This window comes from Homo sapiens, chromosome 20 (genome assembly GCF_000001405.40).
Source record: "Homo sapiens chromosome 20, GRCh38.p14 Primary Assembly".
NCBI classification, from domain to species: domain Eukaryota; kingdom Metazoa; phylum Chordata; class Mammalia; order Primates; family Hominidae; genus Homo; species Homo sapiens.
The window spans coordinates 36,314,720-36,336,116 of NC_000020.11; the positions used below are offsets into that span (position 1 = coordinate 36,314,720).

A 21,397-nucleotide genomic window follows, 5' to 3' on the forward strand; every position below is an offset into this window, starting at 1 on the left:
TGTGTGGTATTATGTGTATGGAGTGGGTGTGTGGTGTGATGTGTGTGGGGTGGGTGTGTGGTGTGATGTGTGTGTGGTGTGGATGTGTAGTGTGTGGTGTATGTTATGTATGGTGTCTGGTGTGTGTGCTATGATGTGTGTGATGTGGGTATGTGGTGTGTGTGGTGTGTGATGTGTGGTGTGTGATGTGTGGTGTGATGCGTATGTGGTGTGTGTGTGCTGTGTGTGATGTGTGTTTGTGGTGTGTTATCTATGGTGTGTGGTGTGTGTGTTATGTATGGTGTGTGTGGTGCGTGTGTGGTGGTGTGAGATGTGTGTGTGGTGTGTTGCGCCCCCCCGTGTGTGGTGTGATGTGTGTGTTATGTATGGTGTGTGTGATGTGTGGTGTGTGATGTGTGGTATGTGGTGTGGTGTGTGTGATGTGTGGTGTGTGTGCTGTGATGTGTGTGTGGTGTCTGTGATGTGTGTGTATGCTGTGTGGTGTGTGTTTGTGTGCGTTGTGTTACATCACCTCCCAGATGAATATAAACTCACATGAGTGACAGGCACTGTGACCCAGGAGAGCTAAGAGGAGACCGTAGCTGTCTTGGTGTCCAGGAGCTGAGACCTGAGAGTGAGGAGGGGTGTGGTGCGGTGCGGGGACAGCACGGAGAGCCATGGGTCACGGGCCTGGAGAGAGCAGCCAGGAGCTTGGGATGAGGAACAGTCAAGGCTGGCTGCGTGGGCTTCATGGGACCACGTGGACTGGTGACAGGAGGAAACTGAGGCTTGGAGCCATGAAGCAGCCTGCCTAGGCAGGACTGGAAACTTGGGTGGCCATGGTTGGGTCCCTGGGGTTGCTGGATGGTCTGCCCTGGCCGCAGCTAGCAAAGCCAGTGGCCATCACTGAGTCCAACTCAGGACATTTGAGCAACATTCCTGAGGCCCTGCAGCAAGTAAGAGTGGGGCTGGGCCTCCCCTTCCCAGCCTCTCAGCCTCCTCTTGTGTGGGTGCATCCCACTGAAAGAAACTAGGCAGCCACAGAAGGTTCCAGAGCAGGGCAGACCTACAATGCTCTCCTGGCCGACCACTCCCCAAGCCTTCCCGGCACTGGCATGGGGTGTTGGCTGCCTGCCCACTGCTGAGGCTAAGGCCAGAGCTGACTGACCCCTGCCATCTCAGTCTGTGGCCTCACTCTGCTGACACTGGCCGGGCAGAGACAAAGGCAGTGGGCAGCCTGGGAGGGGGTGGTGTGGCCCACCAGCCCTGTGGCTTTCAGGAACCATTTGCAAGACTGGGTTTGATAATGACAAGGCTGGTCCTGGAGGCCAGCGGGAAGGCAGCCTCTCATCCTGAGCCCTTGAGATGCGTCTGGGGGATCAATCACAAAGCGGAAGGTGGGCTCCTTCCCCATTGACCTCCCCTTCTCAAGCATCTTTTGGCAACAGCCTTCATGGCCTCTGGCCAAGGTGACCATCCCCGCCTCCTACCTGATTTCCTGCTGGTGCGTCCTCCACGCAGGTTAAGTAACCACATCCAGCTGCTCATGGCCCAGAGCCCTGAATGAGGCCATTGCTGCCCCTGTCACCTGCCTCTGTGCACCTTCCACAGCCCCCTCCTGCTTTGCCCCCATCACACCCCACCCGCAGCTCACCTGAATGACTGGGCATGCCCAGAACCTTCCATGTCCTCTGGCTTTCCTGCCTTTGCGTTTACTGTTCCCTTTCCCTGGAAATCCTTCCCCACAGTCTTTGCTTGGTAACTCTGATTTGTTACTTATGGCTCAGCTCAGACCTCCCCTTTCCAGGAACCCTGCCTTTCCCAACCACATGGGTCACCCTACCCCCACAGCGGACTAGACTGTAAGGGTCTCCCACCGGGCAGAGGCTGGGGCCTGGCACACAGCAGGGGCACAGCTTGTGAGTGTTACCTGAGCATTGTTGAGCCTGGTAGTCCAGGAAGGGCCTGAGAACAGGTGGGGGTGGAAAGGCAGCCCAGCTCACCAGCCCGTCCCCTTCAGCAGTGCTCCCAAGCACCCCCTCACAGAGAAGCTGGGTCACCCAGGGGTGCCTTGGACAGCAGCCCAGGCCAGCCCGTCCCATTGCAGCCCGTCACTCCTCTCCTCCCCAGCCTCTTCTCTGGGGGCCACCTCCTCACCTGGATCTGGCACTAAGGGGGTAACTGAGGCTGGGCAAACAGGGAGCTGGTTGACCGGCTGCCTGTTTGGCTTGCACACCTACCAGGACTGGCTTTTCAAACTGGGAGAAGCTCAGCTGTTTGAAAATCTTTCTCCAGGATAGGAATAAACTTCTTGTTCTTTAAGCCTCTGAAATTTTAGAGTCTATTTATTACTGTAGCCTAGTCTACACTAATATGAATATCTGTTATGTGCCAGAGACTATTCTAGGCACTAGGGATAATAATGTTAACCTCCAAGGAAGCTACTATGAAAATTTTCTTCCTTTCTCTCCTTCCTTCCTTTCTTTTCCTTCCTTCCTTCCCTCCTTCCTTCCTTCCTCTCCTTTTTTCTTTCTTTCTTTCTTTCTTTCTTTCTTTCTTTCTTTCTTTCTTTCTTTCTTATCTTTCTTTCTTTCTTATCTTTCTTTCTTCCTTCCTTCCTTCCTTCCTTCCTCTTTCTCTCTTTCTTTCCTTCTCTCTTTCTTTCTTTCATTCTTTCTTTCCTCTCGTCTCTTTCTTTCTCTCTTCTTCCTTCCTTCTTTCTTTTCTTTTCTTCTTTCTTTTCTCCTTTCTTTTCCTTCTCTTTCTTTTTTTTTTTTTTTGTCAGAGCTCTGTTGCCCAGGCCGGAGTACAGTGACATGATCATAGCTCACTGCAGCCTTGAACTTCTGGGATCGAACAATCTTCCTGCCTCAGCCTCTGGAGTAGCCAGGATTACAGTTGCACATCACCATGCCCAGCTAATTAAAAAAAAAAAAAATTTAGAGATGGGGTCTTGCTATGTTGCCCAGGCTGGTCTTGAACTCTTGGCCTCAAGCAATCCTTCTCTCCAGCCTCCCCAGTTGCTGGTTTTGTGGGCGTGAGCCACCGAGCCCAGCACTCTTGTGAGAATTTTCTGAAAACTGACAGGTGAGCATCTCTAGCTGGGTGCTGCACATAGCTGAGTCAGATCCATTCTTGAGTCCAGCACAGTCATAAAGAGCAGCCACACAGGGCTGGCTGAGGTTGGCAGGGATGGTCTTCTGGACAGATCAGGGCCACTAAAGAAAAGAGCCCTGGGTGTGCCCAGCCTGGGAGCATGGCCCAGCACAGCCTCTGAAGCCGGCCCTGGTTCTCTCCAGCCTCTATTCTACCCTGAATCAAGGCTCATCTTCTATACTCACTACTTATTACTGTGGAACAAATTACCCCAACATTTAGCAGCTTAAAGCAGTAATAAATGTGTCCTCTCACACACACACACACACACACACACACACACACACACACACACACACACACAGTCTACTCCAGGAGTGACTTTGAGGGCATCCAGTTTACCCTCATGATGATCAGGTTAGGCAGAGTGATAAGGGCTGTTTCTGGGTAGGTCCTGGGTCACAGCCTGACACCAGCTGTCTCTCCAACATGCCCTGGGGCTCTAAGCAGAAGGGGCCACTGTCCTCACAGGAGCGGAGGCAAGGCATAGAGAGGAAGAGTGACACTCCTGAGGTCACCCATCCGGCAGCTGGTGGACCCAGGATTGTCTCCCTGTCTCCCAGGCTGAAATGCAGTGGTGCAGTCATGGCTCACTGCAGCCTCCCACTCCTGGGCACAAGTGTTCCTCCCCACTCAGCCTCCCGAGTAGCTGGGACTACAGGGGTGCACCACTGGACCTGGCTAATTTTTTAAATTTTTTGTAAAGATAGGATCTCGCTTTGCTGCCCAGGCTGGTCTTGAACTCCTGGCTTCAAGTGATCCTCCCACCTCAACCTCTCAAAGTGCTGGGATTACAGGTGTGGACCACTGCACCCAGCCCTGGCCCAGGATCTTAACCACTGCACCCTCCTGCCTTGGGTGAGACAGACGAGGGCAGGGAGGCTCTGGCTGGGTGGGGTCTTCATGCCTGTCTGGAAATGAGGTGTTCATAGCAGTGATTGTTGATGACTAGCTGTTCTAATGAGCAGGTTTTTTCTGATTTTGTTTTTCATTACAAGAGCAAAACTGAAGGCAGGCGCGGTGGCTCACGCCTGTAATCTTAGCACTTTGGGAGGCCAAGGCGGGAGGATCATGAGGTCAAGAGATGGAGACCATCCTGACCAACGAGGTGAAACCCTGTCTCTACTAAAAATACAAAAATTAGCTGGCATGGTGGTGCACGCCTGTAGTCCTGGCTACTCAGGAGGCTGAGGCAGGAGAATCGCTTGAACCTGGGAGGTGGAGGTTGCAGCAAGTTGAGATTGTGCCACTGCACTCCAGCCTGGCAACAGAGCGAGACTCCATCTCAAAAAAAGAAAAAAAAAAAAAGAAAAACTGATTGGAAAGGTGGGCATCTGTCTCAGGCCCGGAGGGAGGGAGCTGCTGATTTTGAGGGGTGGCCCAAGTTTGAGTCCCCACTCTGCTCACTGGCTATGTGATTTTGAGCAGGTCACAGAAACCTCTCTCAGCCTCAGTTTCCCCCGCTGTCCTCAGAGAGATAACAGTGTCATTGCCTGTCTCAGAGGCTTGGTTTGAGGGTGAATTGAGGTCCTGTGTGTTCAAGGACTGAGGACAGAGCCTGGCATACAGCAAGTCCCCAAAATAAGGCAGCTGGTGTTACTGTGCTCTCTCCTGACACCCGCACACCCCCCGGAACCTTCTGGCACTCCCTCCCTAGCCTAGCCCAGGGCAGCTCACAGAAGGGCCAGCCTGGGAAAGTGGGCCAAGGGTGAGCACTATGGGCAGAGCCCTGCACAGAGGGCACAGTGCTTGTCCCCATCTCACAGAGGTGGGAAACCGGGGCCACAGATGACTGGTCCAAAGACCTCAGGGGTGGAGCGGGGACTGGATCACAGCCTCGTGACTCACAGTCCAGTGCCTTTCTTGCTGCCCAACTCCTTAGGGATTCTTGGGAGAACTTCAAGGAGCTAAAGAGAATTCTAGGGGCCCCCAGGGCACCTAGGAGGCCTGGGAGGCAGGTGCTTGGGCCCTCCTCCCCTCACCACCCCAGGCCTCTGTGTGACCCTGTTGGAGTTGCCTCCTTCTCTGTGCCTCTGTCACAGCAAGGTAGCGGGGAGAGTCTGGAATCTGAAGAACTTGGATTCAAGGCCCCCTCCCCCGGGCCTCCCTCTGCGTCCCACTCCCCCGGGCCTCCCTCTGTGTCCCTCTCCTCCAGGCCTCCCTCTGTGTCCCCCTCTCCCAGGCCTCCCTCTGTGTCCCTCTCCTCCAGGCCTCCCTCTGTGTCCGCCTCCTCCAGGCCTCCCTCTGTGTCGCATTCCCCTAGGCCCCCCTCTGTGTCTTCCTCTCCCAGGCCCCCCTCTGTGTCTTTCTCTCCCAGGCCCCCCTCTGTGCCCCTCTCCCCCGGGCCTCCCTCTGTGTCCCCCTCCTCCAGGCCCCCCTCTGTGTCTCCCTCTCCCAGGCCTCCCTTTATCCCCTCCTCTAAGCCCTCCTCTGTGTCCCCCTTCCCCAGCCCCACCCCGTGTCCCCTCCCTCCTCTGCTGTCCTGGTTTGTGCCTGGCCGACATTCAAGGTGGCAGCTTTGGGGTGGGAGCTCAGGCAATGGGAACCATGCTTGGAGGGGCCCAGCCAGGCCCACACTGACCCTTGCCCTGGTGGACTCCCTCTGCCAGGGCAGGTGGCAGTGGGGCTGTGGGGCTGTGAGTGGGGGCTCTGGTTCTCCCCACGCTGCAGGCCTGCGTCATGCCCCCCACTCCCTTGCTGCATGCCCTGCATTGGAAAGCAGATATATTTAGACGAAATGCTGTGTTCCAGACAGATTCTGCATCCACTGTACTTGTCAGGGCTGGGGGAGGCAGGGCCTGTGAGCAGCCACACCTGGTACCTGGAGTCTGGGCCCCCCTGAGCCCTTTGCCCACCTGCCTGGGACCTCTGGGGGCTGCTGACTGGGTGAGGGGGACACTGATGAGACAGAGGCCTGGCCCTCTACCGACTTTGGACGGGTCTCCCTCTGCACCCTCTCTGCCGCCTAAGGCCACATCTCTCTAACTCTTTACCTCCAAGTCACAGCCAAATCAGTCCTTGGCTCCCTGTCTGCCCCCAGCTTCCTCTGAATCCCCGAACCCTCCTGTACCCCTTCCAGGACTCAGCACTTTGTCCCCTGTGTAGTCAGTCAGCAAACGAGGATTTGAGCCTGCTGCGGGCCAGGTCCTTGCTGGATGTAGGACCTGGAGATGAAGGCCCTCAAAGGAGCCACATCACAGTCTAGGAGCGGGATCATAGACCACAAAGACAACAGCAGGTACCCGCATGGCAGCAGGAAGCCCTAGGGCAAGGGCACCCATGCTGGGGTGATGGTCAGGGAAGGCTTCTCGGAGGAGGGAGTGGTCCAAGCTGACACCCGTTGGTTAAGTGAGAGTGAGCCCACACCTGGAGACGAAACAGGCATTCCTGGCAGAGGGAACAGCACGTGCAAAGGGCTGGGGTTGAGGGAAGACCTGGCTGCACATGGGAGAATAGGGAGCAAGAAGACGGGCAGGGATGGGGTCTTTCAGAGCCTCAAGTGCCAGGCTGAGGGCCTCGGCTGCCCCATGGGCCCTGGAGGGCTGCGGGGGAGTTTCCAGCAAGGCAGTGGCCAGGTCTGATGTGAGCATAGCTGGGGCAGCTGGTCATTGGTTCCACAGCCACTCGCCAGGCTGGCCCCGGCTTCCACCTCGGATGTGCTCTGCCCAGCCTGGTGGGAATCAGAAATAGCTCACACGTGCTCAGCGCCTGGTGAGGCGCTCGCCCGCCTCAGCGCGTTTCATCTGCGCCCGAGTCTAGGAGGGCTCAGTGCTTGTGAGCTGGGTGACCTTCTCACTCCTACTTATTAATATGCCACCCACTGGGGCTGTAGGCAGAGTTGGGAGAACGAGCATGGGGAGGGAGCGAGGAGGGGGAAAGGTGGGGGTCCCAGGGTGGGAAATGCTGAGGGCTTGGAAATGGTACCTGCCCACCAGAACAATATGCAGCAGATAAAACCCAAAGTATAGAGACAAATATACAGATCCCCCTCGATCTACCTGCAGTGGTGACCACATTTTGATGCCGACCTTCCAGAGGTTTCTCCAAGTCTGTCTGCTGTGGCAGATAGATTCATTCATTCATTCAACAAATATTTGTTGAGTGCCCACTTGATGCCAGACCCTGTGGTGGGCAGAGGGGACATGGCTCTGAGTGAAAGGGACTCTCCTGGCCCTTAGGGAACTCAAAAAGCAGGTAAAACAGTGATGAGGCCCACGGAGGAGGGTCACAGGAACATGGGCCCTGACTGGAGTCACAAAGGCTTCCTGGAGGAGGTGACACTTGAACTGAGACCTAAGGGATGAGGAGAAGTTGCCCCAGCAAAGAGGAGCAGAAGAAAACATTCCAGCAGAGGGAACTGCAAATGTGCAAACCCCGGGGTGTGAGGAAGGTGGGGTTTTCAGGGAAGAGGAAGGAAGATGGTGAGGCTGGAGTGTTGGGATGTGGAGGGAGGACAGGTGAAGCACTAGAGGATGGCGGGGGCCAGACGGTATGGGGCCTTCTGCACTGTGGTCAGGGTTTGGGGATTTACATAAGAGCGTGGGTTGTGGCGCCAGAAGGTCTAGATGCAAATCCAGCTCTGCTGCTTATTAGGGGCTTGACTTCAGCAAGTTACCTAACTTCTCTGTGCCTCAGTCCCCTCATCTGTAAAGTAGGGGCAGTGATGGTCCCTGCCTCATAAGACTGTTGTGAGGATGAAGTGAGGTAATAAAGTGCGTAGGACAGCACGTGGCACACAGCAAGTGCTTATAAATGGTAGCTCATATAATGTCACAGTCATCTGTAGATGGAGGGCATCTGTGCAGATGACTTTGCAATAGGGTCACATTAGTCCTGCTCATCTGCAGCTACTTCTTCCCTTGATGCTGGCCATCCTCCTGAGTCAGTGACTACCGAGTATTATTCTATTTGAAATTTCTGAGTTGTAGTATAGCACGTGTTGTAGAGTGTACTAATCTTAAGCAGATAGTATAGCTTGATATATGTGTATATCTCACCCTTGTAACTACCACTAAGGTCAAGATGCAGGATATTTCCAGGCCAGGTGCAGTGGCTCACGCCTGTAATCCCAACACTTTGGGAGGTTGAGGAGGGTGGATTGCTTGAGCCCAGGAGTTCGAGACCAGCCTGGGCAACATGGTGAAACCCCATCTCTACAAAAGATACAAACACTAGCTGGGCATGGTGGTGTGTGCCTGTGGTCCCAGCTACTCAGGAGGAGGCTGAGGTGGGAGGATCGCTTGAGCCTGGGAGGTTGAGGCTGCAGTGAGCCATGTTCTCACCACTGCACTCAGCCTGGAGTGACACAGAGACCCTATCTCAAAAAAAAAAAAAAAAAAAAAAAAAAAAGATATAGGATATCTCCAGCTATACCAAAAGGCTCTGTCTTGCCTTTTCCAATTAATTCCCCACCTCCCTTCCCCAGGGGCAACCAATATTCTGACTCCTAAAGCCATAGCTTTGTTTTGTCTTTTTCACACCTTCACATAAACAACATCATGCAGATTGTCTCTTTTGTGCTAACTTCTTTTGCTCCTCACTTTGTCAATGAGATTCATCATGGCTGTTGTGTGTATTGGTAAGTTTTCTTTTATATTGCTGCCTAGTATTCCACTTAGCGAATATGTCATACGTTATCCATTCTATTGTTGATAGACTTTTGGAATATTTCTAGTTTTTGACTATATGGATAGTGCTGCTTTGAGCTTTCTCATAGAAGTCTTTTGGGAAACTTTTGCGGTTATTTCTGTTGGTTATATACCGAGTGGAGTTTATTTATTCTGTGGGTTGTCTCTTCACTTTTTTGATAGTGCCTTACAGCAGGGATCCCCAACCTTTTTGGCACCAGGGACTGGTTTCATGGAAGACAAGTTTTGGGATGAAACTGTTTCACCTCAGATCATCAGGCATTAGTTAGATTCCCATAAGGGGCATGTAACCTAGATCCCCCGCATGCGTAGTTCACAGTAGGATTCGTACTCCTGTGAGAATCTAATGCCACCGCTGATCTGACAGGAGGAGGAGCTCAGGCGGTAAAGCTGGCTTGCCTGCTGCTCACCTCCTGCTCTGCAGCCCAGTTCCTAACAGGCCACAGACTGGTACAGGTCCATGGCCCAGGAATTGGGGACCCATGCTTTATAGCACAAAAGTTTTAAACTTTGATGAAGTCCAATTCATCTATTTTTTTTCTTTGGGTGTATTTTCTTTTGGTGTCATATCTAAGAAACAGTTGCCTAATTCAAGGGCATGAATATTTATGCCTGTGTTTTCTTCTAAGAGCTTTATAGTTCAGCTGGGCACGGTGGCTCATACCTGTGATCCCAGTACTTTGGGAGGCTGAGATGGGAGGATCATTTGAGGTCAGGAGTTTGAAACCAGCCTGGCCAACATGGTAAAACCTCACCTCTACTAAAAATACAAAAATTAGCTGGGTGTGGTGGCGGGCACCTGTAGTCCCAGCTACTAGGGAGGCAGAGGCAGGAGAATCACTTGAACCCGGGAGGCAGAGGTTTCAGTGAGCCGAGATTGCACCACTGTACTCCAGCCTGGGGAACAGAGTGAGACTCTGTCAAAAGAAAAACAAAAAGAGCTCTATAGTTCTAGCTCTTACATTTAGGTCTTTGATCCATTTTGAGTTATTTTTTTGTGCCTGGTGTGAGGTAGGGGTCAAATTTAATTATTTTGCATGTGAACAATAAGTTGTGCTGGCACCATTTGTTGAAAGGACTGTTCTTTCTCCATTGAATGGTCTTGGCACCCCTTTCGAAAATCAATTAACCATAAATGTGAGATTTGTTGTTGTAGTTGTTTGTAGATCCTCAGTTCTGTTCCATTGATCTATCCTTATGACAGTTCCACATTGACTTGATTATTGTAGCTTTGTAATAAGTTTCGAAACTTATTATCTTTTAATATCTGTAGACTCTGTAGTGATGTGACCTGTTTCATTCCTGATATTTGTAATATGTGTCTGATCTTTCTTTCTCATTTTTAATTTTTGATCAGACTGGGTACATATTTTTCAATGGTATTGATCTTTTTGAAGGACAGCTTTTGGTGTCACTGATTTTTTCTTATTGTTTGTTTTCTCTTTTATTGATTTGCTGTTCTGATGCTATTTTCTTTCTCCCACTTAGTTCAGGGTTAATTTGTTTTTCTTTTTCTAGTTTTGTTTTTTTTAAGGTAAAAGCAGAGGTCATTAATCTTAAAGCTTTTGTCTTCATGAATATAGGCATTTAGTGCTATAAAGTTTCCTCTAAGTACTGCTTTAGCAGCACCCCACACATTTTGATATATTATATTTTCATTTTTATTCAGTTCATAGTACTTTCTAGTTTCCCTTTTGCTTCCCTCTTTGACCCATGGGTTTTTTAGAAATGTGTTATCTAATTTCCAAATATTTGAGGATTTTTCAGGGATCTTTCTGTTAATTGTTTTTAGTTTAATTCCACTGAGATTATATAACATATTTTGCATAACTTTAATCTTCTAAAATGTATTGAGACTTGTTTAATGGCCCAGAATCTGGTCCATCTTGGTAAATGTTCCATGAAAAGAGTATGTATTCTGTTGTTAGGGGATGGAGTGTTCTATAAATGTCGGGTCAAGTTGGTTGATAATTTTCAAATCTTCTGTATCCTTATTTATTTTCTGTTCACTTGCTCTACCAATTATTGAGAGAGAGCTATAGACATCTCTGACTATAATTGGAGATTTGCCTATTTCTCCTTACATTCCTATCACTTTTTGCTTTATGTATTTTAAAGCTTTGTTATTCAATACATACATATTTAGGATCATCATTCCTGTTGTTGCATTGACCTGTTTATCATTATGAAGTGATTTTATAATATTACAAAATATACTTTTTTTTTTTTTTTGAGACTGAGTCTCGCTCTGTTGCCTGGGCTGGAGTACAATGGCACGATCTCGGCTCACTGCAAACCTCTACCTCCCGGGTTCAAGCGATTCTCTTGACTCAGCCTCCTGAGTAGCTGGGATTATAGGCACGCACCACCATGCCTGGCTGATTTTTGTATTTTTAGTAGAGACAGGGTTTCACTATGTTGACCAGACTGGTCTTGAACTCCTGACCTCAGGTGATCCTCCCAGCTCGGCCTCCCAAAGTGCTGGGATTACAGGCATGAGTCACTGTGCCTGTCCTGAAACAGACTTTTTCTGATGTTAATGTAGCCCTCAAGATTTTAAAATTGGTGTTAACATGGTCTATATTTTTTCATCCTTTTACTTTGTACCTGTTCGTGTTTTTATATCTGAAGAGCATTTCTTGTAGGCAGCATATGTCAACATACCAAAATTTGCAGGATGCTGTTAAAGCGGTACTCAGGGGAAACCCAATAAGTTGGGCCCCAGATTCACCCCAGGTTTAAATCTTTTCTCTTGCTATTTGTTTTCTATTTGCCCTATCTATTCTTTGTTTCTCTTTTCTTATTTTTCTGCTACCTTTAGAATTAATCACATTTTTGTTATTCCACTGTATCTCTTGTTAATTATAGCCATAACTGTTTTATTTTAGTGCTTGCAGTATGGCTTACAATCTACACTTTAAACTTATTGCAGTGTACTTTCAAGTGATATTATATCAGTTCATGTATAGTACATCACAATAGCATACTTCCATCTCTTCGATCTTGTAGTATTATTATTATGTATTTGACTTTTATATGTGTAATAAGCACAACACTACATTGTTATTGTTTTTGTCTTGATGGTCATTATCTTTTAGAGATATTTAAATAATAAGAAAAATAATCCTATATATTTACCCATGTAGTTATTATTTTCAGTGCTCTTCATTCCTTTTTATAGATTCATATTTCTCTCTGGTATCATTTTCCTTCAGCCTGAAGGATTTTAACATTCCTTATAGTGTGAGTATGCTGGTGAGGAATTCTTTCAGCTTTAATGTGTCTGAAAAAGTCTTTATTTTGCCTTCATTTTTTTAAGTTATTTTTGCTGGGCATGGAATTATAAGTTAACAGATTTTTTTTTCTGTATTTTAAAGTTGTTCCACTGTCTTCTCACTTGCATTGTTTTTGACAAGAAATATGCTGTAATGTGTATCCTTGTTACCAGTATGTAACACATATCTTTCTTTTCTGGCTACTTTTAAGATTTTCTCTTTTTTTTTTTTTTTTTTTTTTTGAGACAGTCTCACTGTGTCACCCAGGCTGGAGTGCAGTAGTGTGATCTCAGCTCACTGCAGCCTCCGCTACCCAGGTTCAAGTGATTCTCCTACCTCAGCCTCCCGAGTAGCTGGGACTACAAGTGTGCACCATTACACCTGGCTAGTGTTTGTATTTTTAGTAGAGATGGGGTTTTGCCATGTTGGCCGGGCTGGTCTTGAACTCCTGACCTCAAGTGATTCACCCACCTCGGCCTCCCAAAGTGCTGGGATTACAGGCATGAGCCACCATGCCTGACCTAAGATTTACTCTTTACCACTGGTTTTGAATGCTTTGGTTATGATTTACCTCCATAAGGTTTTCTTCATATTTTTTGTCCTTGGGTTCATTTAGTTCCTGAAATGTGAAGATTTATAATTTATAATTTTACACCTGGCAGAGTGCAGCACAGGAAACGAGAGGAAGTGTCAGAGCCCACAGCTTGGTGAAGGCCACTCTTGACTCAGTTTCTCTATCCATCTGCTAGGCCGAGGGATACCTGCATTCCAGGACATTCCTTTGTTCCAGATAAGAATTATCTGGTTAAATTCTTTTTTTTTTTTTTTTTTTGAGACGGAGTCTCGCTCTGTCGCCCAGGCTGGAGTGCAGTGGCGGGATCTCGGCTCACTGCAAGCTCCGCCTCCTGGGTTCACGCCATTCTCCTGCCTCAGCCTCCCAAGTAGCTGGGACTACAGGCGCCCGCCACTACGCCCGGCTAATTTTTTGTATTTTTAGTAGAGACGGGGTTTCACCGTTTTAGCCGGGATGGTCTCGATCTCCTGACCTCGTGATCCGCCCGCCTCGGCCTCCCAAAGTGCTGGGATTACAGGCGTGAGCCACCGCGCCCGGCAAGAATTATCTGGTTAAATTCTAAGGTTGCCAGGCACAGTGGCTCACGCCTGTAATCCCAGCACTTTGGGAGGCCAAGGCAGGTGGATTGTTTGAGGTCAGAGGTTCGAGACCAGCCTGGCCAACGTGGTGAAACTCCGTCTCTACTAAAAATACAAAAATTAGCTGGGTGTGGTGGTACACGCCTGTAATCCCAGCTACTCAGGAGGCTGAGGCAGGAGAATTGCTTGAACCTGGGAGGTGGAGGTTGCAGTGAGCTGAGATGGTACCACTGCATTCCAGCCCGGACAACAGAGCAAGACTCTGTCTCAAGAAAATAAAAAAAATAAAAAATAAAAATTCTAAATTTAAAGTGCACATTGGCAAAGTGGCCAGTGTGTCAGGTGGTTGGGTGTGCCCCTTAATTTGATCACTCAGCTTCTCCTGGGCATCTTTTGTGCTGAGTAGGGCGTCCAGCTGGGAGGACATCAGACCCTGACAAGTTGGGCCCCAGAGTCACCCTAGAAGCTAAAAATACACAATGAGATTAAAGAAATGCCATTATAAACAGCAATGGTTCATCTTATTTGTATACAAAACTGGCAGGTTTTTTTTTTTTTTTAAATAAAGTCCAGCATAGACAAGAATGCAGGGAAATTGATCTTCCCAGACTCTATCAGGAGGGGTATAAATCAGAATCCCCTGCTTTTGTAGGGCAGGTTGGTACAGGATTGTCACAAAGTTTGGGGGGTTTTATTGTTTGTTTTTTTGTTTTTTTGAGACGGAATTTTGCTCTTATCGCCCAGGCTGGAGTGCAGTGGTGCGATTTCGTCTCACTGCAACCTCCACCTCCTGGGTTCAAGTGATTCTCCTGCCTCAGCCTCAGGCATGAGCCAGCACACCCAGCTAATTTTTTTTTTTTTTCTTAAGACGGAGTCTCTCTCTATTATCCAGATGGAATACAGTGGCGCGATCTTGGCTCACTGCAACCTCCACCTCCTGGGTTCAAGCAATTCTTCTGCCTCAGCCTCCTGAGTAGCTGCGACTACAGGCATGCGCCACCATACCCAGCTAATTTATATATTTTTAGTAGAGATGGGGTGTCACCATATTGGCCAGGCTGGTCTTGAACTCCTGACCTTGTGATCTGCCTGACTTGGTCTCCCAAAGTGCTGGGATTACAGGTGTGAGCCATCGCGCCCGGCCTAATTTTTGTATTTTTAGCAGAGACGGGGCTTCACCATGTTGGGCAGGCCGGTCTTGAACGCCTGACCTCAGGTGACCCACCCACCTCAGTCTCCCAAATTCCTGGGATTACATGCGTGAGTCACCATACCTGGCCAAGGTTGGAATTTTATCTATGTTTGGCCTGGCAATTTCAGCTCCAGGAAATTTTAAGAAAACAGTTCAGATTGTTGGAGCCAAACAGTCATGAGTTTGAACCTGGATGTACCACAGGTCACCAGTTATGTGACCTGGGACTAGTTACTCTACCTTTCTGAAGTTTCATTTGCTTATCTGTAAAATTGGGATTTTAATACTTATATCATCTGGTTGTAGTGAGGTTAACTGAAGTAATGTGTGCAAGATATTCAGCTTAGGGCCAGACACAGCGCAAACCTTGTGCCCCTGGGGGATGTCTTGATGACGTGGATGGAAAAAACTGAGTCAGAAGTGGCCTCCACCAAGCTTTTGGTCCTGACACTTCCTCTCTATCCCTGATTATGTATAGGAAATAAAAAGGCTGAGCCGGACACAGTGGCTCATGCCTGTAATCCCAGCACTTTGGGAGGCCGAGGTGTGGGGATCACTTGAGGTCAGGAGTTCGAGACCAGCCTGGCCAACATGGTGAAACCCCATCTCTACTAAAAATACAAAAATTAGGCCAGGTGCGATGGCTCACGCCTGTAATCCCAGCACTTTGGTAGGCCAAGTCAGGCGGATCACAAGGTTAGGAGTTCAAGACCAGCCTGGCCAACATGGTGAAACCCCATCTCTACTGAAAATACAAAAATTAGCCAGGCATGGTGGCAGATGCCTGTAATCTCAGCTACCTGGGAGGCCAAAGCAGAGGAATCACTTAACCGGGGAGGTGGAGGTTGCAGTGAGCAAAGATCTCACACTCCAGCCTGGGTGACAGAGCAAGACTCTTGTCTCAAAAAAAAAAAAAAAAGACTGAAAGACACACACCATAATATCAGAAGCAGTCATCTCTGGGAGAATAATTTTATTTTCCTAATGCCGTTCTGTTTTCTTCCAGTTTTCTACAGTGAACATATATTGCTTTTGTAACAAGAAAAAAATGACAATTAAAACACAGTGTGTCTCGTTCTTCCAGAGCCTGCCTTTGAAGGAGTGAGGAGCCTGATGGGCCAGGCCAGAGGAGGGTTTTGTGGGGGAGGTTCTGACCATATTGGTGGGGGCTCCAACTATCGTGGTGGGGGCGGCAGGACTGGAGAAGGGCTAGGTTACTGCCCCTCTATGCCCCAGGCTAGAGCCAAGGTTGGACTCTGAGTGGAGATTATGGAGGGAGGTGGTGGACTATATGGCTTCTAGAGGTGGACCTATTTACTCTCCGTGGGACCTCAGCTCAGTGCCTTCAGTTCTCTGTGCCTTAGTTTCCTCATCTGTAAAATGTGCCTCTATGGGACCTACTTCATAGGGTAGCTGAGGCTTCAGTGACTTTTGGGATTTTTTTTTTTTTTTTTTGAGATGGAGGAAAGTCAACTCCTTTCCCCTCTGTCACCCAGGCTGGAGTGCAGTGGTGTGATCTCGGCTCACTGCAACCTATGCCTCCCGGATTCAAGCAATTCTCCTGCCTCAGCCTCCCGAGTAGCTGGGACTATAGGCGCCCGCCACCACACCCGGCTACTTTTTTGTATTTTTAGCAGAGACGAGGTTTCACCGTGTTAGTCAAGATGGTCTCGATCTCTTGACCTTGTGATTCTGCCCACCTCAGCCTCCCAAAGTGCTGGGATTACAGGCGTGAGCCGCCACGCCCGGCCGACTTTTGAGTTTTTATTTTGAGTTTTTATCACAGTGCCTTGTGGACCGTAAATGTTAGCTATTGTCACTGTTGTTGTTGTTATTATTATTATTACTATTATGAGTATCATCATCCACCATTCCCTTGCTTCCAATTCAAGTGGTGAGGAGAGAGGGCTGGGCTGTCCCTCACAAAGTGGGCCATGTGAGAGAGACAGCTCATCCCCCCTGGGGGCCTGTGGGGGGAGGCCACCCCATTTCCCTGGGCCTTGGCTTCCTCTCTCACCTGTGGGGATGGCTACTTCCACGTGGTGAGAAATAAATGGGTCCTCCTGTCCAGTGCCCACACTCCAAAGATGCCTATTGAGCGTCTGCTCCCAGCCCTTCAGGGAGGACCCATGCTGTCAGAAAACGAGGGGAAGAGTGTGAGAGGCCAGGTGGGAGGGCCAACTTGGGGTCAGGTGCCCAGCCACCGGGAGGCCCATCTCCGGCATCCCCAGCTGCCCCTCCTCCAGCTCACCGATGGCCTTGGAGGGAGCAGGACCAACATGGGAACATTAATCCACCTCATTACCTCCCTTTGCTGTGGAGTTGTAGCAATTAGACCTGCAGTCTGGGCAGCATTAGGAGCCAGGCAGGGGTCACCCGGGCTGCTGGCCCCCTGCCGACCCAGCCTCAGCCTGGACTCACTCTGTCTCTGGGGAGAGGGGCCAGAGAAGGGAGTTCCCTGGCAGCAGAATCTCCCTCATCACTAAAGATGGATGCAGAGATGGAAGCTTTGGCCTCTTTTCACTTACCCACTCACAGGTGTTTAACAGATGTTTATGGAGCACCTACTGTGTGCCCTGGAGACAGATGTGGTCCCTGCCCTCACAGAGCTCTCAACAAAAGTAAAATAATTGCTGCTAGTATAAATGCTGTGATGGAGAGCAGCAGGGTGACAGGTGTCTGCTGGGGTGGTCAGGGAGGGCCTCTCTGGGGAGGTGACATTTGAGCTGAGACCTGAACACTTACAAAGGAGCCAGTCTTTTGAGGATCTGGGATCGGGTGGGGGTTCCAGGCAGGGAACAAACTGGGGAGGTTGTGCTGGCGGACATGTTCAGATGCGGCTGGAAAAGAGTCGGGGGCGGGTAGGGGGAGATGAAGTCAGAGAAATAAGGACAGGGGGTGCGTCTAGCCATAGGAAGGACATGGGTTTTCCCTGAGTCAAGCCAGAGACCTTGGAAAGCTTGGAGCTGGGAGGTGATGTGATCAGATTCATGGGCATGAGACTTCCTCTGGAGAAGGGATGCCCAGGAGAAGGCTGGGCCAGTCATCTGGACGGGATGGAGAGGATGAGGTCTGGGTAGGGGCAGGAGGCTGGGCTGGGCAAGGGATTCAGAGCCTTCCAATGAGTCCTTCCCAGCCTTTGAGCCTCATCCTCTTCACCAAGAAATGGCCCGATCTCCACGGCCCCCCTCCTTTCCTCTCCTTTTGACACCTGCAGACTTTCCCTGTCCCGCCCGTTCCGTTTTTTGTTTTTTTTGTTTTGTTTTGTTTTTTTGTTTCTTTGTTTGAGACAGGGTCTCACTCTGTTGCTCAGGTTGGAGTGCAGTGGCACGATCTCTGTTCACTGCAACCTCTGCCTCTGGGGTTCAAGCAGGTCTTCTCCCTCAGCCTCCCTAGTAGCTGGGACTACAGGCGCCCGCCACTGCACCCAGCTAATTTTTGTATTTTTAGTAGAGACAGGGTTTTGCCATGTTGGTCAGGCTGGTCTCAAACTCCTAACCTCAAGTGATCCGCCCGCCTGTGCCATCTTGGGTGCCTCACTGTGCATCATCTGTCCCGGCAGCCCCAGGAGGAGGTGCCCCCATTTCACAGGTGAGGAAGTGGAGACTCAGAGGGGAAAGGAGTTGCCCAGGATCAGAGCTGGGCCTGCCTGGGTCTCTATTCTCTCTAGCACCTCCCCTCCCATCCCAGCCCCCCACCAGTCAAGGCCCCTTCTGAGCCATGACCTCAATTTTCCAAGGTAAGGCAGCTTGTTAGCATCTCAAAGAACACTCTCGCCTGCCACCATGTATATTCATGGAGCTTCAAAGAGGAAGCTCCAGACAGGAGGCTCTTTCTTTCCTTCCAAGAGCAAATTCTCACCCTCTCAGATGCAGGATGTAGTCTGGCTGGAAAAAGACTTATTTTTTCTTCTTTCTCTCTCTTTTTTTACTAGCTAGTAAAAGGGAGATGCTACCTCCGGCTCTTAACGACTGAACATTTGTTCTGCCTGGTTGGTTTGAGAAGTTGTGGGGGCTTCAGAGACCTTGGCCTTGCAGTGGATTCCGAGGCCATCTGGTCCCACTTTGAGGGTCACAGAGGATGGGGACAGGGTTCAGAGGGCATCAGGGCAGCATACTCATCCTGCTGCAAATGCACCATGAAAATGCAGCTCTTCTCCTTCTATTGGTGTGTGCTTGACATTTTTCATACTAAGAAGTTAATAGAGGGTTTTTTTTTCTAAAACCCCTGAGCTCCCTGAGCACCTCACTCCGTTCCAGCCACTCTACCTTTGCCCACGCTTCCCCTCTGCCTGATGCGCCTCTGTGTGCCTGGTGGATTCCCGTGCATGTTTCAAGGCTTGATTCCAATGTCGCCTCCTCTCAGAAGCCTCCCCTGACTCCCTGGGTGGTCATGGCTGTGCTATGCTTCCTCCTTTATCCAGTGGATGGCTTTGATTCCTTGTAGCAGTCCTGTGAGGAAACTGAGGCTTGCCCAAGGCTGCATAGCATGGGTGAGGATTCAAATGTGTGGGTTGCTGTGTGACTCCCCGCGAACCACTCTGCCCTTCTGCCCTGCACATCACACGGCATTCTGTAGGCCAGGTCTTCCTGGCTGGGTCTGCCCCTGCTGGCCTCGAAGCCCTTCAAGGGTGGGTCCACATGGGTGTGGATCTTGGGTACCCAGCTTCGGGCTGTTACTGAGGATGCACTGACAGGTGTTTCCCAAATGGGTGAAAACATAGATAATTTTCCCCACTCCCTGCCATTATGGAGCTAAGGCAGAACTTGGGAAACTCATGGGACCTGCCTTTAGAGGCACTAGGAGCAAGAAACCCAGGCAGGCTGGAAAGCCACTGTCCCCACCCAGCGACCCACAACCCACAGGGGTGACCAGGTATCTGGGGAGTGGCGACTCTGTGGACAGCAAGGATGTCGTGTGTGCTGCGTCATTCAGCAAACACAGATTGAGCTCTGTGTGCCAGGCACAGGGCTGGGCACCAGAAGCACAGCGGTGAACAAGCCAGACCCAGCCCCTGGCCTCCCAGGGCTCTCACATGAGAGGTGGAGGGTGGGCAGACCAGAAATTGACAAAAATGCTACAGTGTGGAAAACAACAATTAGGGGGTTGGTCTGCAGGGCCTCTGGGGGCTGGGAGAGTTATCAGAGACTTTTCAGGGGGTATTACTGAGGCTGAGCTCTGCTGGCTGATGGCGAGCTGGTCAGGGAGGTGTCTGACCAGCATCCTGCAAAGGCCACGAGGTGAGAGAATCTAAGCTCACTCAGGGAACAGATGAGAAGGAGTGTGACCTGAGGGCCGGGGAAAGGAGAACCATTGAGGTCTGAGGGGCATAGCAGCGGAGACAGGGCTTGGCTTGTGGTTCGAAAAGCCCCCTGTGTGTGCAGCAGGGAGTGCAATTTGCAGGGGCCCAGGTGGCCATGGAGACCCCACGTAGGAGGCTGGTGCTGTTTTCAGGGGAGATGAAGGTGGCCTGAATCGGGACAGGGGCTGGGGAGGTCAAGGCGAGGGGCCAACCCAATTTTAGAGGCAGAGCCTGCTGGATTTTGTACTGGGCTAGGTGAAGGGCAAGGAAGGCAGTCTGGCTGAGCCCTGGAGGTGAGGAATGCTGGTTACTGAGATTGGGAGTTGGGGCTGCTGGAGACACGGCAGCTAAGGCTTTCTTTGTGAGGATCTCCACAGTGGCCTAGGGGCAGCTGGGTCGCCGGCACAGGGTGGTCCCTTTCCCCCAGTCCTGCCTCTCAGCCTGTATCTGGGACCGACGTGTCTATTGGAGGTGAAAATCATGCCTCCCGCCTGAGCCCGATTGCCCCCCGGGGGTGGCAGAACGCCAGGTGCCCATTTTAATTCTCCGACAGTCATACTGCTTTATTGTTCCTATTTGGGATTTTATTATTATTGCTGTTAATGGTTTGAAAAGGCCTTTTAATTAAAGCTGCAGGTTGGAGCTGGCACCTGAGCCCCTGGGGTGGGTGGGAAGAAGCCTTGCCAAGCGTTCACCCCACCTCTTACAGAGCTGGAGGCTTTTGAGATGGGGGCTGTGAAGCCTTCCATGGGGAGACTAGGGGACCCTGCCGTTGAGACCATGGTACAGCCACCGCCAGGCCTCAGTTCTCTGCCTGTGATACAACCAGAAGATTTTCCCAGCACAGATGGCATGACATTGATTTGTAAATGGACCTGTTGGTAGGGAGCTGGTGGGACACACCTGGGTTTCAGTCTCATCTTTGCTGCTTACTGGCTGCAGGACCTTGAGCAAGATGCTTAAATGGCCGCAGCCTCTGTTTGCTCATCTATAAAATGGGAGTGCTGAGTTCCTGCCTCCATAGGGCTGTTAAGAGGAATAAAGAGATGATCCAACCCCTGGCCCAGGCTGAACACTCAATAAATGGGGGTCATGTTATTGTGACTGTCGAGACTGTGGGGATCAAGCGAGGCTGTGTGTCTGAGCCTAGCACGTGGTAGATGCTCCGGACACAGCTGCTCCGGACACATCAGCTGCTCTTATAGCAGATGTTGCTGCCTTCTCCTCCCCTTCTTCCTCCCTCTTGTTCCCGAACGTGCAGGAGGTTTGACCCGTCTTTGCCTTTGCACATGCTGTTTCCCCATCCGTCGTGCCTCCCTTCATCTTTTGCCCACCTGGACATCCTTTTTGACCCAGGTGTGGAGCTGCCCCCTCTGGGAAGCCTTCTCCAGCTCCTCCTTTGGGACCTGGTTTCCCAGAGCTGCCCAAGCATCCCCTCTTAGGGGCCTGGTCTCCCTGCCTGTAATGACTTGTTGACTCCCAGGGGTTGCAAACTCAGGGGCCTGCAGGACCTGGCAGATCAGATCAGAGAGGAATATTGTCGAGTGAAGGATGACAGGTTCCTGTTTCTAAGCGCTGCTCCCACCCTGTGGCCAGGGCCCTCCTCCCCTGCCTCCAGAGGGACAGTTCCCTTTAGAGAGTTTGCCAATCCAGTCCATGCCCATGGAACACCTATAGTGTGTTGCCCTGAGCT

At 50.4% G+C, this 21,397-nt stretch overlaps 1 protein-coding gene across 5 annotated transcripts in view, besides 5 other annotated features; it reads left to right on the forward strand.

Moving 5' to 3' along the window:
• The window catches only part of DLGAP4 (DLG associated protein 4), a 222,295-nt gene that overhangs the window by 8,381 nt on the left and 192,517 nt on the right, over positions 1-21,397 (forward strand). The window lies entirely within an intron of this gene.
• Positions 16,155-16,816: an enhancer, noted in NCBI's record as "H3K4me1 hESC enhancer chr20:34959277-34959938 (GRCh37/hg19 assembly coordinates)". NCBI's record gives its function as "activates a minimal SCP1, AML or CMV promoter by ChIP-STARR-seq in naive H9 embryonic stem cells {active_cell/tissue: H9 hESC(naive)}" and the evidence as "EXISTENCE:reporter gene assay evidence [ECO:0000049][PMID:30033119]".
• Positions 16,817-17,478: an enhancer, noted in NCBI's record as "H3K4me1 hESC enhancer chr20:34959939-34960600 (GRCh37/hg19 assembly coordinates)". NCBI's record gives its function as "activates a minimal SCP1, AML or CMV promoter by ChIP-STARR-seq in naive H9 embryonic stem cells {active_cell/tissue: H9 hESC(naive)}" and the evidence as "EXISTENCE:reporter gene assay evidence [ECO:0000049][PMID:30033119]".
• Positions 17,479-18,140: an enhancer, noted in NCBI's record as "OCT4-NANOG-H3K4me1 hESC enhancer chr20:34960601-34961262 (GRCh37/hg19 assembly coordinates)". NCBI's record gives its function as "activates a minimal SCP1, AML or CMV promoter by ChIP-STARR-seq in primed H9 embryonic stem cells {active_cell/tissue: H9 hESC(primed)}" and the evidence as "EXISTENCE:reporter gene assay evidence [ECO:0000049][PMID:30033119]".
• Positions 18,141-18,800: an enhancer, noted in NCBI's record as "OCT4-NANOG-H3K27ac-H3K4me1 hESC enhancer chr20:34961263-34961922 (GRCh37/hg19 assembly coordinates)". NCBI's record gives its function as "activates a minimal SCP1, AML or CMV promoter by ChIP-STARR-seq in naive and primed H9 embryonic stem cells {active_cell/tissue: H9 hESC(naive and primed)}" and the evidence as "EXISTENCE:reporter gene assay evidence [ECO:0000049][PMID:30033119]".
• Positions 18,801-19,462: an enhancer, noted in NCBI's record as "H3K27ac-H3K4me1 hESC enhancer chr20:34961923-34962584 (GRCh37/hg19 assembly coordinates)". NCBI's record gives its function as "activates a minimal SCP1, AML or CMV promoter by ChIP-STARR-seq in primed H9 embryonic stem cells {active_cell/tissue: H9 hESC(primed)}" and the evidence as "EXISTENCE:reporter gene assay evidence [ECO:0000049][PMID:30033119]".